General features: G+C 35.3%; 2 pseudogenes; one reads left to right on the forward strand and one right to left on the reverse strand.

Moving 5' to 3' along the window:
- OR10T1P (olfactory receptor family 10 subfamily T member 1 pseudogene) lies at positions 1,121-2,067 on the reverse strand (annotated as a pseudogene).
- Positions 10,169-11,521, forward strand: EI24P2 (EI24 pseudogene 2; annotated as a pseudogene).
- The last annotated feature ends 2,900 nt before the right edge of the window (positions 11,522-14,421 follow it).

The following is a 14,421-nucleotide window of genomic DNA, read 5'->3' on the forward strand; positions in this document are numbered from 1 at the left end:
GAGGAGGTATTAAAGGTCCTTTGTTACATAATAAATAACTAAAAATAAAAGAAGTTAAACCTGGCACAAGGGGCTTAGCTGGAAAATGATCCAAATAAAGATTAAAATCCAGGTCTTTGTGACTCCAAAGTCTGTGTTTTCTATTCTATCATCGACCTCTTAGAACTTTACCACCACCCCCCTCATTTTTCCAGAAGCAAATTTATGTTCATTATTTAGAAACAATTTACTGCATATATTTCTTTTTAAACATATATATATATATAATATATGTGTGTATATATATGCATATGTAGATCAGGGGATAGAGAAGAATCAGGAGACATGAATAGTGACATACCCCAATTTAAAGATAACTGAAGTAATTTATCTTTATTTTTGCAAGTTATTTATATTCTTTGTATTACTATGTGCAAAGAAGGTTTGTACAGTAAAGTCAAACTATGATGTGAGCTCATCTCATTGAATATTGTCATTTTATGGAAGAACAAAATGAGGCTCAAAAAGATTAAACCATTTGCTTTAACCCATTTCCCGTTTGCCCTGAGAATTCCATAATGGCACAGAACTGCACTTTTTTTTTTCCTAAATGGGAAGTGGGTTAAACTTTATATAAATATACACACACATGTATATATATATACATTCATATATATATACACACATATGTAGGTATGTGTATGTATATATAAGTTTAATAAAGAAATAACTGCAGTAAATTATTTCTAGAATATGTTGTTTCTTTCACTGTAAAAGGAGTATCAACAATCTGGGAATTCTCAAAAAGATAATGCAGCATTTGTAGTTTTGATCTGACAAAGCAAACACTTGTAATGCATAAAAACAATGTAGCTTGTGTTATTGAAAGTTTCAATGTTCACATAATTTTCTGGAGACCAATTGGTATAACTTTTGCAGTGGATACAGGCTAACATGAAAAAAATTTTTTGATATAAACAATCAAGGTCACCTAAAGTCCTTATTTCTTTTCTTTTCTCTCTCTCTCTCTTTTTTTTTTTTTTTTTTGTCAAGGAGTCTTAAGAAAAGGACGAATCTGTTTATAGATCTGAAGTGCTACCTAGGAAACTTTCATGAATGTAATTTACTGCCTTATCAGCCCACTCATACAGTTTTGGAATTTAAGCATCTACCCAGAACCTTTCTCAGAGCCATCTTTACTTCTTTATTTCTCAGTGTATAGACAAGGGGGTTGAGTAGTGGAGTAATCACAGTATAAGTCACTGCCACGAGCCGGTCCTTATCTGAAGAGTACAGGGATGTGGGCCTCAAGTAGATAAAGGAAGCACAGCCATAGTGGACGACGACCACTGTGAGGTGGGAAGCACAGGTGGCGAAGGCTTTGCACTGTCCTTCCACTGAGGAGATCTTGAGGATGGTGGAAACTATGAAGATGTAGGAGATGAATATCAACACAAGGGGAACCAGCAATACCAGAATGCTGAGGAAAAAGATGACCATCTCCTTCAGGTTGGTGTCTGTGCAGCCCAGTTTTATGACAGGGGAAATGTCACAGAAAAAGTGGTTGATCCGATTGGAGGCACAGAGGAGCACACTGAACACCAGGATATTGACAATCACAGAAGTCAGGAAGCCACAAAAGCTGGAGGCTAGAACCAGCTGCATGCAGGTGGCTCAGCTGACAATGAGTGTGTAGTTAAGGGGGTTGCAGATGGCAACATAGCGATCGTAGCCCATCACAGCAATGAGAAAACAGTTGGTACAAGCCAAGCCCACAAATAAATAGAGCTGGACCACACATCCAGAGAAAGAAATAGTTGGAATTGCGGATAGCAGGTTGGTAAGCATTTTGGGTACAATGACCAAGGTGTAGCAGGTTTCAGAACATGAAAGGACAAAGAGGAAGAAGTACATAGGAGTGTGCAAAGCCCTGTCCAGGTGAATGACTGTCATGATGGTGGTGTTGGCCATCAGAGTGGTCAGGTAGACTAATAGGAAGATAAAGAAGAGAAGGATCTGCAGATCCCCCAGGTTTGAGAAGCCTATAAGGATGAACTCGGTGATCATGCTCTGGTTCTGTCTTTTCATTGGTCAGTGTAATTAGACTTAGGTAACCTGAAATTGAGAAGGAGAGAATTTGATAAAAGTGAAATGACCCTAGAGATACTCATTTCGCGTTTCTGTAAAAAGCTGATAATACTGGTCTGAAAAAATACATAACACACATTAAGTACATAGATCAGAGTATAGGGAAGGGTCAAGGGACATGAATAGTGACATATCCCAATTCAAAGATATCTGAAATTATTTATTTTTATTTTTGTAAGTTATTTCCATTCTCTGTATTCCTATGTGCCTAGAAAGTTCATACTGTAAAATCAAAATGTGATTTAGACCTCATCTCATTAAGTACTCTCATTTTATGGAAGAAGAAAATGAGGCTCAATAAGATTAAACCATTTGCTTACCCACATGACAGTAACAGTCCTTAAAAATCACCTATCTTTGCTAATACCTTATAAAAATCTGATTCAGAAAAACAAACAAAACAAGTAAAAAGTGATGTACCCAGTCTCTCATATACATAACTCAAATAATGCTTGTTCAGATGTAGGGAACTATTTTAATCTACTTAAAAGTATTCAGATTCTATTTACCCATGATCAATTGTGAAGACTTTGGGATGGCTCACATATTGGGGTTTCCCTTGTCATCAGTGCATGGGAATCTGAGATTAAGAACCTAATAAAGCTCAAATTAACCTCAGAGCATTATGAGGCTTGGGCTGAGATCTCCACTCTTCTGGCCTATGCCTCAATCTCCATTGCCTCCATAATGTTCTAAGAAGAACTTTCATCATTATCTGTAAGAAGATCTGTGGTTTGATTTGGAGATCAAATAAATGCTAAAACCTTCATATCAGACTTAGACAATCAGATTATTTTCATTTTGGAAAAAAGATCAGAAATCTTCTAACTCAACCTGCATACAATTCTGTGAACCTCTTTATAGCAATGTAGGAAGTATTGTCCAACGTCCACAGTCAAGGACAAATTTTAAGAAGTCACTCACTTCCAAAACAGGCTGTTGTTCCCTTGCTAGATAGTTTATTTGGCTACTTCTGAGCTGAACTATGCCTCCTTGAAATAGTCACCCATTGTTCTTGATTTGTCCTCTGCAGATACTCACAATAATGTTAAATTATTTGTATGAATGACAGCTAGCCTTTAGTTATTGAAATAAAATGATCATATATCTTTATGGGTCTTATTTTCCTTCTAACGAATTATTTAATACATAGCTTATGGCAATGTTTCTGGAATTTTCTCTGTCCTCATCACCATCTTAGGTGTGTTTGTCCTCAACATTAGGTCACGCATCTGCCCCTCAGCTGTAGACAAGCTGGTTGGCTGCAGCATCAAACATAACTAACTTTGTCTCTCTGCTTCTACACATAACATTACATTTTCTTTCCTACTTTTGTTATCCCTCAGAATTAATATTTGTCTTTCCTACAAAACCTCAACTCATTATTCATCTCCTGAGAGGCTTCCCTATGTAGCTCTCAATGACTGAATCCTGTTTGAATTCACTTCCCTGTCAGTTTGCTCTGAGATCATTTGTTAGAATGGCAGCATAGTGAGGCTGGATGGACTGAGGCTCTGGAGTCAGACTGCCTAGGTTGAGACCATGGCTCTGCCAATGTACAATGTTGGGGAAATCACTTTGGGTCTCATGATTTAATCTCTAAAATGGCAATAATAATAGCATAAGCCAAAAAGTTTGTGTGAGCACCAAATGCCCACAATGAATTTCCTGATGCATAAGTGGTCAATACAGGCAGGCTGTTAAATATCTAGCCAAGCCCCCTCATGTTATAAATGAAGAAACAGAGGCCCAGAGAAGTAAAATATCAAGATGTAGGTTGCATAAGCTATGAGGCAGGAACTGTATCCCAAATACCTTAAGTCTCCCATCTAGGGTTTTGTCTTTTGAATTACCTGGGTTCTAGTTTTAATATTTCCTTTGCACTGCGTGCTTATACACCAGTGACTTAGGAAATAGATCAATGTCTTCTTTACTCTGTATGATCCCCACAAGGCTTTCTGTTCCACTCTTTCATTCACTCCTATCTCTTATTCTTCCACCTTAACCCATCATATATAGGTACACATTAGGCAGTTTCTCCCTATTTCCTAGTTTAGGTCTATTTTAGGAATATTTTGCTGTTTACACTCTTAGTTATTCTCTTCATTTACTATATCTCCCATGCTCACATGGTCAGGTTTTGTTCAGCTGCATCTTTGCCCTCTCCATATGGTCTCTGTCCTGTCTCTCACTCTAGATTCTGATGCTATGGCCCACACTTCACCAGTGCATGGTTTCCATGAGTTCTTCTGCCTCTGAATCTTTCTTTGGTATTCAGAATATTTTTAGAGAAAATTGACAGATATTACTCATAAGAAAGAGTAGTCCTACAACTCTAGTACAAAGGAAAAACTTACATCCACAGGCAGTTTTAGCACAATCTCATGTTCCTTTTTTTCTCATATCCCATCAAAGTCTAAAAAGGAGAGAGAAATAAACAAACATTAAAAAAAATCATGTAGCATATTTCTCCCAGATCTTACCAGGGAAAGTCCAGGGGCCATTCGCTTTTAAAGATGAAAGACAGCTCTGCCTGGTGTCTGAGCTGAAAGTAACTGTACAGCCCCAATCTTAGCAGCTCTGTGGCCTTGACAGCACATACTCCAGCAAAATCCCTGGGTCTTATACATTTGGGGTGCCTCAGGGGATTGAGGCTTTGGAGGGAGGTTCTTCCTTGGACTCTAGGCATTAAAAATGTAATATTCAACCTTAAAGAAAGAAAAAAAAAGGGTAGATAAATTATGTGGTTTACTTGATCTGCGTAAAAGACGAATAGCTTTAAATACTATAATTTTTTACAGTGATCATTCATTTTGGAGAAAGGTTACATTTGCTGAATAAAGTGATGACTGTTACTTACTTAGTCATTAGCTTTTTGGATGCTAAACATAGATGGACTGTTTTAAGGGATAAAATAAATGACATTCTTGACAAATTTTTTCTTCCTTCTTAAAGTTGCTAGTTGAATTATGAGATTATTTTTTTCTATAACTCTCTTGATTTATGAATAAGTTATACTGGCATCATAAGAGGGCACACAGTCTAACCTTTTCTACATTCCTCTACCTGCTCAATTTGTCTCTTCAAATACATTAATCAATGTAGACTTTTGTCAGGACATTCATTAGTTCATTAATTTAATCAATATGCATCGAGTACCTATAATGCTCCAAGCACTCTGGTGAGTGTTTTAGTGGGGAAGGTGGCACGATGATGGCTTAGTCTGTGCCAGTGGTGACATATGGACCCATATACATTTGAGCCTCCTGAGGTGCACGTGAAGATGCATATTTTGGGGCTTTACCCTAGGATCTCCTAAATAAGAAATATTTTAGGTGGAGCTTGGAATAGTTTGCAATCTGTTTATGTAATTTATTTGATTTTCAGAAAGTTTAGAGCTACTGACTTCATTCTGATAAAAGCTTGATGTTTAGAAGATGAGATAAAGAAATAAGTGAATAATTACAACAAGCAAAGAGGGTTAAGCTAGGTACAAGCACAGGGCACGACAGCATTACTGAGAGGAAGTACAGTTCTCACATTTAGTACCAAAATAAGTGGGTCTCAAACTCCTCTTATACCTTTTCAATCCAACAATATTTATTTTATAAGTTTATAAGTAGAATACATGACAAAACTAGGACAAAACTCAGTAGGGAGAAATGAAAGCATACTATAAAAAATCACAATATAAATAAAGTGCTACAATATTATTTGAAGGTTGACTGTGATGAGTTAAAAACGCACATTTTATATCTCACAAAACACAAAAATTAAAGAAATGTATTGCTAATAAACCAATAGAGGCGATACAACAGAATATTAATAATTACTCAATTAATCCAATGGAAGTCAAGAAAATAGGAAAACAGTAACAAGAAATAAATGAAACAAAGAGACATCACATAGAACAATGGTAGACTTAAACACACTCAAAATGAAACTTACATTGATTGTAAATTATTTACACTTCAATAAAAAGAGATTGCCTGATTTGTATAAACAAAGCAATTACATATTTTCTGCAAAAAAACCCACTATAAATCTTAAGTCTCAGATAACAGTAATGTCCTAGAAAAAAAGCACAAAACTCTAACTATTAGAAAGGCAGAAGGAATATATTAACATGAGACAAGTGGACGTCAGCACAATAAATATTAACAGAACTAAAGATGGACATTTGCTAATAATAAAAAATTAATACAAAATTCTAATTGTCAAATATAAATATGCATTTCATAAAAAGTTAAAAAAAAGGAAGCCCAAAGTGACAAGACAGAAAAGGAAGAAGCCAAATCCAAACTATAAATATTTCTACATACCTTCTTACGTAATTGATAAAATAAGTAGAAAAAAATTCATAAGAATTATAAGATGCAAACAATAACAGGCTTGACATAATTACTATTTATAAAAAGATACACACAAAAATAGCAGAAAATTATTTTTTATCAAGTGCACATAGGCTGTTTATAAAGGTATAGCACTTCCTGGGTAATCAAATGTATAGGTTAAGTAATTTCTATACCCAGAGCAAAACAAGAACATCTGGTTTCATTACTTCAATCCAATACTGTATGAGAATTCCTAGCCAATGTAATAAGCAAAAAAAGAAAGAATAATTTATATTAAAAAGATGTAAATTTGTATTTATTCACAGAAAATGTGAATGTTTACATACAAAATCCTAAATAAACAAAGAAAAGTATTATAAAGACTAGTAAAAGAATTTAGCAGGTCCAGCAATATAAAAATAATACAAGTAGTACTAGACCTAAGAAAACAGTTTGACAGCAATACAATTATAATGAGGGACTTCAACATTTTACTGACAATATTAGACAGATCATTGAGGCAGAATATCAATAAAGAAACTCTGGATTTAAACTTGACTCTAGACCATATGGACCTAACAGATATTTACAGAGCATTCTATCCGACAACTGCAGAATATACATTTTTCTCGTGTGCATGGATCATTCTCCAAAATTGACCATATGCTTGACCATAAAGAAAGTTTTAATAAATTCAAAAATATCAAAATAATGTCACGTATTTTCTTGGACCTCAGTGGAATAAAATCAAATGTCAATGCCAAAAGGAACTCTCAAAAGTACACAAGTACATGCAAACTAAACAATTTGCTCCTGAATGACTTTTTGGTAAATAATTAAATTAAGGCAGAAGTCAAAAAAATTTCAGGGAATAAAAATAGGGACCCAACAAACCAAAAACTCTGAGAGGCAGCAAAAACAGTGCTGAGACAAATTTAAAGCATTAAACACCTACATCAAAAAGACAGAAATATCTCAAATTGGCAACCCAATGTTGCACCTCAAGGAAGTAGAAAAATGAGAACACATGAAGCCCAAATCTAGCAGAAGAAAAGAAATAACAAAGATCAGAGGAGAACAAAATGAGATTTAGACAAAAAGGACAACAGCAACAACAAAACAAAAATAATACTTAGTATCGACAACATGAAAAGTTGATTTTTTTGAAAGAATAAATAAAATTGATAGACCAATAGGTAGATTAACCAGGAAAAAAGAAGATTAAAATAAACACAATAAAAATGGTATTGGTGACATTACATCTGATATTACAGAAATACAAAAGATCATCAGAGACCACTATGACTATCTCTTTGTGCACAAACTAGAATTCCTGAAAACATACAAACTCCCAAGACTGAACCAAGAAGAAACAGAAATCCTGAACAGACTAATAACGAGCAATGAAATAGATCAGTAATAAAAAAAAAATCTTCCAACAGAAAAAAGCCCAGGACCAGATGGATTAACAGTCAGAAACTATTCCAAAAAATCAAGGAGAAGGTATTCCTTCCTAATTCATTCTATGAAAACAATATTACCTTGATGCCAAAATCAGTCAAGGACAGAAAAACAAAGAAGATAACTACAAGCAAATATCCCTGATGAATATAGATGCAAAAATTCTTAACAGAATACTAGCAAACAAAATCCAACATCACAAGGAATGATAATTCATCACAATGAATTGAGTTTTATTCCAGGAATGCAAGGATGGCTGAACATATGCACATCAATAAATGTAATTCACCACTTAAGCAGAATTAAGAAAAAAACATGATCATCTTAATAAATCCAGATAAAGCATTTGATAAAATCTGACATTCCTTTATGATAAAAACTCTCAACAAACTAGGCACTGAAGTAACATATTTCAAAATAGTAAGAGCCATATATGACAAACCCACTGCTGAAGTCATACTGAATAGGAAAAAATAAAGCTAGTGAAGTTGAAATATTGTAACCTAGAAAACCCTAAAGACACCTAGATTTGTTAAATGACTTCAGTAAAGTTTCAGGATACAAAATCAATGTACAAAAATCAGTGGCATTTCTGATTTTTGCATGCAAGCTGATAAGCAAATCAACAACTCAAATTCATTATAAAAGCTACAAAAATAAAATAGCTGGTAATACATTTTAAAAAGGAGGTAAAAATATCCACAAAAAGTATGAAACACTGATAAAAGTAATTATAGATGATACAAACTAATTTAAAAAATCCCAAGGTTATGGATTAAAATAATCAATATTGTTAAAATAATCATCATGCTAAAAGCAATCTATAGATTCAATGCAATTCCTATTAAATTACCAAGGTCTTCTTTCCAAGAATTAGAAAAACATTCTGAAGTTCATGTGAAACCATAAAGAGCCTGAACAGCCAAAGCAATCCTACAAAAAGAACAAATAATGTGATGCCTCTGTATTTGTTCCGTTTTTAGAAATTTTTTAAAAAAGAACAAATACAGAGGCATCACATTATCTGACTTCAAATTACCCTACTAGGCCATAGTAAATAAAATGACACAATACTGGTACGAAAATAGACACATCAAACAATGGAACAGAATAGAGAACCCAGAAATAAAGCCAAATACATACAACCAACTGATGTCCAACAAAGTCAACAAACATAAACAATGGAGAAAGTACATTCTATTCAATAAATGGTGCTGGGAAGATTAGCCAGTCATATACAGAATAATGAAAGTAGATTCCTAGCTTTCAACATATAAAAAATTAAATGAAGATAAATTAAAGACTTAAATGTAAAACCTGAAAGTATAAAAATCCTAGAAGAAAACCCAGAAAAACTCTTCTAGACATTGGCCTAGGGAAATAATGTATGACTACGCTGGAGAGGGTGGCTCATGCCTATAATCTGGGCACTTGGAGAGGCGGAGGCAGGCAGATGACTTGAGTCCAGGAGTTCAAGACTAGTCCAGGCAACATGGTGAAATCTCTTCTCTACCTAAAAACAAACAAACAAACAACAACAAAAACACAGAAAAACCCCCAAACCAAAAATTTATGACTAAGATCCCAAAAGCAAATATGACTAAACCAAAAATAGACATATAGGACTTAATTTAACTAAAAAGCTTCTGCACAGCAAAATAAATAATCAACAGAGTAAACAAAAAACCTACAGAATGAAATAAAATATTTTTAAAAGACTAATATGCAGAATCTACAAGAAACTCAAACAATTCAACAATGAAACAAAAAACAACCCCAATAAAAACTGGGCAAAAGACACGAACTGACATCTCCCAAGAGAAGACATGCAAATATATGACAAACATAAAAAAAAATCAACAGTACTAATCATCAGAGGAATACAAATTAAAACCTCAATGAGATATCATCTTGCACCAGTCAAAATGATTATTATTAAAAAGTCAGAAAACAACAGATATTGGCATGAATGCGAAAAGGAAATGCTTCTACACTACTGGTGGGAATGTAAATTAGTTCAACCTGTGTGGTAGAGAGTATGGAGATTTCTCAAAGAACTAAAAATAGAACCATCATTTAACCCAGCAATCCCACTTCCAGGAATCTACCCAAGGGGGGAAAAAAGCTATTTTATAAAAAAGAAAAGACACCTCCATTTGAATGTTTATCACAACACTATTCACAATAGGAAAGTCATGGAATTAACCAAAGTGTCCATCACTGGTGGATTGAATTAAGAAAATGTGAGCGCCCTGGTGGAGCGAGCCTGTGGTTGGTGAGGGGCTGGGCCGGAGCCTTCATGGCGGAGCTGCGGGTCCTTCATGAGAGATTTGGAGACATTTCTCTCTCCTCTGTGTAGTTGATAGTTTGCTGGTGAAGAGATGGCTGACAGTGTCAAAACCTTTCTTCAGGACCTTGCCAGAGGAATCAAAGACTCCACCTGGGCTGTTTGTACCATCTCAAAGCTAGATGCTCAAATCCAGGAAAAGAGAGAGGAGCAGCCTTGAAGAAGGGCAAGTAGTGTCTTGGCCCAAAGAAGAGCCCAGCATATAGAGTGGAGGCAAGAGAGTGAGCCATGCGTTGTTAGTAGAATTTTCCAGCGTTGTGCTTGGAATGGTGGAGTGTTGTTGTTCAGTCTCCTTTTGTTTTATCGAGTATTTATTCCTGTGCTTCAGTCAGTAACAGCCCAAATTATTGGTGATCCATCACTACATGGAGATGTTTGGTAGTGGCTGGAATTCTTCCTCAGGTCAATTTTCAATGCTCTTTGGGTGCTCCCCTTGTTTGTGCTTAGCAAAGTAGTGAATGCCATTTGGTTCCAGGATATAGCTGACCTGACAATTGAGGTATCAGGGAGGAAGCCTCACCCATTCCCTAGTGTCAGCAAAATAATTGCTGACATGCTCTTCAACCTTTTGCTGCAGGCTCTTTTCCCCATTCAGGGAATGTTTGTGATTCTCTTTCTCATCCATCTTGTAGGTCAGCTGGTTAGTCTCCTGCATATGTCCCTTCTCTAGTCACTGTACTGCTTTGAATATCGTTGGTTCAGTAAAGGAACTGAAATACACCAGCAGTTGTCTAACATAGAGAGCAATTGGCCTTACTACTTTGGGTTTGGTTTGCCCTTGGCTTTTCTCATAGCAATGCAGTCCTCATATACTATCAGCAGCTGCCTTTTCTCTATCCTCTTTCCTTTATTCATTATCAGCGCCAATGAAGCAAAGACCCCTGGAAAAGCGTATCTCTTCCAGTTGTGCCTGTTCTCCTTGGTGGTCTTCTTAAGCAACAGACTCTTCCACAAGACAGTCTACCTGCAGTCTGTCCTGAGCAGCTCCACTTCTGCAGAGAAGTTCCCTTCACCTCATCCGTCTCTTGCCAAACTGAAGGCTACTGCAGGCCACTGAGTTGCCTGCCATCCAAAGGGGATAGGCGGGGTTGGAAGGAGGCTGTGGCAGCTCTTTTTCCTGTTCACCTCTCCCTGCCAAGGAAGACAGGACCCACTCTGCCAAGGGCCCTCTGCGTGTTCCCTTCTCTCTGAGGAATTGGAATTTTTGTCTCTGGTGCACGTGAGGCATAATGTTCCCTGACACCAGTGTGTGGATTTTTAACATCACCATGAGTCTAAAAAGGACCACAGGTTTTACTGCAGCTATTTTCTAGCATTTGCCAGTCCCTGTGCCTGGACTGATTTGAATACTTTGTTTTTCTCTCTGTGCCATCTACCCTCCCACCTTTCCATCCTGCCTTCTACCACCCTTAGATAAAAGGATTTTGTAATTCCAACTTGTATTTTGTGGATTTGTTATTTTTGTTGTTTTTCTGCCAGGCACATACATTGGGTATGGGAGGTAAAGGAGTGTCCCAGTTGCTTCTGGTCACTCCCTTTATAGCCATTACTCTCTTGTTTCTTGTAACTCAGATTAGGTTTTGGTCTGTCCTGCTCCACTGGAAAAAAAAAAAAAAAGCCTGAAGAGATGAGATAGGAGGAAAGATCTCACAGCCAGATCTGCTGCGTTTTGAGGAGTGATATTTTTTCTTCCCCTTGAAGGGGGAAAAGCTATTTTCACTGGTACATTTAAAGTCCTCCAACCATGGAGAGGTACCAATTCTGGACAAGTGCCACTGCTACAACACTAAACCTGAACTTTTCAACTCCGTTGGGGGTGGGAGGCGGTGAGCAGAAATGTGCTGTTGGCCACTGCCAGGTCTGTTTCATATTTCAAAGGAATATTGGATGTTGAAAATAGGAACCGAAGGGGTAAATGTATTAAACATGTGATTGATTAATGTTTTCCTGTCATTTTAAGAGACTAAATGTGGGGGGCAGTTGTCAAAATACTTGTACAATTTTAAAATGTCACAGTTAAACGTGAGCTGGTTTTCCACACACACACACACACAAAAATGTATATATACACCATGGAATACTACGCAGCCATAACAAGAATAAAATTGTGTCCTATTTAGCAGCATGGAGGGAGCTGGAGGCCACTATCCTAAGTAAAATAACTCAGAAACAGAAAACCACATCTCACATATTTTCACTTATAAGTGAGAGCTAAACATTGGGTACACACGGACATAAAGATGGAAATGATAGACATCAGAGACTCCAAAAAAAGGGAGGGTGGAAAGGACATGAAGTTTGAAAAGTTATCTATTGGGTACAATGTTCACTATTTGGGTAATGGTTACACTGGAAGTCCAAATCACATCAGTACACAATCTATCCATGCAACAATCCTGCATATGTACACCTTGAAACTGCAATAAAATAAAACAAATACAAGAATAAAAGGTCATAAGTTTACAACAGTACAAAACTCAATTGTATTTGTTTAGAATAGCACCAAAAAGTAAAAATCAAAATTAGAAAAGCTCTATAAAATGCTCTCAAAACCATGAAATAGTTAAGTGAACTGAAAACCAAAATAAAAGTTGTTGAGAAAAATTAAAGGAGACCTGAATAAATGTAGAGGTATACAATTTTCATGGATTGAAAAACCCAAAATAGTCAGGATGGCAATTACCCCCCAGTTTGATCTATAGTTAAACACAATCACAATATAAATCCTGGTGTGATTTTCTCTAGAAATTGACACATTGATTATAAAATGTATATGAAAATGCAAAGCATGTAAAATAAAGCAATTTAGAAATATAGAAAAACATTTAAAATATATTAGCACACAATTTCAAGACATATTATAGAATGACATTGACTAAGTGATATTATCATAAAAATAGACATACAAATCAATGGAACAGAATGTATATTATAGAAATAGTCTTATGCATATATGCTTAATTGATTTTCAATAAAGTTGTCAAGGTAGTTTGATAAGGAGAGAATAGTTTCTCAACATACTGTTCTGGAAATATTGGATACCCATCCAAAAAAAATTAAAGTTGATCCTTACACCACCACATACATAATTTCACCTCATATAGACATTGCAACTTAAAAATGTCAAAACTGTACACATTTTAAAGAAAGCACAGGGGAAAATTTCTTCAACTTGGAGTAGACAAAGACTTATTAGACAGGAGACAGAAAACATGAATCATAAAAAGAAAAAAATGATAAATTGAACTATGTCAAAATTAAAAACTTCTGCTTTTAAAAAGTTAGGCAATTTGATGGGTGTAGAACTCTGTGAAAATACTAAAAATCACTGGACTATATAAATAAAAAGTACAGATTTTATGATATAAAATTATAGCTCAAAAATTTATATAAAAAGGAATGATTAATGAAATGGAAAGGTGATTCACATGCTAGGCTAACATATTTACAAAATATATACCTAATAAAGAGCTTGTATCCAGAATAAATATATATCTCTTATATAAAAAGGGAAGACACATAATTAAAAGATGGTCAAAGGTTTGAACACACACTTCAAAAAACAAGATATACAAATAGCCACAGAGCCCATACAAATGCTCAATATAATTATTCTTCAAAAGAATGCCTAATAAAACTAAAAGGATAGATATCTACACATGTGATAAATTAAAAAACTGACAATGCCTAGAGGTGGATAAGATAAGAAACCACTGGAATTTTTACAACATTGTTGGTAGGATTGAATTATGATACAACTTCTTTGAAAAACAGCTTGGAGGTTTATAAATAGCTAAATTTATACCTATGATGTGGCAGAGTCACTCCACTCCTAGGTATGTACCAAAGATAAATGAACATATATGTCTATACAATGACTGGGAAACTTATGTTCATAACAGTTTTATTCCTATTAGCCTCCAACGAGAAAGAATCCAAGTATCTTTCAACAGTTCGATTTATCCTTCACTGAATAAATTGCAGTGTATTCATAAAATGGAATACTATTAAGCAATAAAAAGAATGAACTGACAAATGACACAACATGAGTGAATCTCAGAAATATGCTAAGAGAAAGAAACTAGACACAAAAGTTATCATACTGTATGATTCAATTTACATGAAATTCTGGAAAAGGCCAAACCATATTAA

The sequence above is a fragment of the Homo sapiens genome, chromosome 1, assembly GCF_000001405.40.
Source record: "Homo sapiens chromosome 1, GRCh38.p14 Primary Assembly".
Classification (NCBI taxonomy): Eukaryota; Metazoa; Chordata; class Mammalia; order Primates; family Hominidae; genus Homo; species Homo sapiens.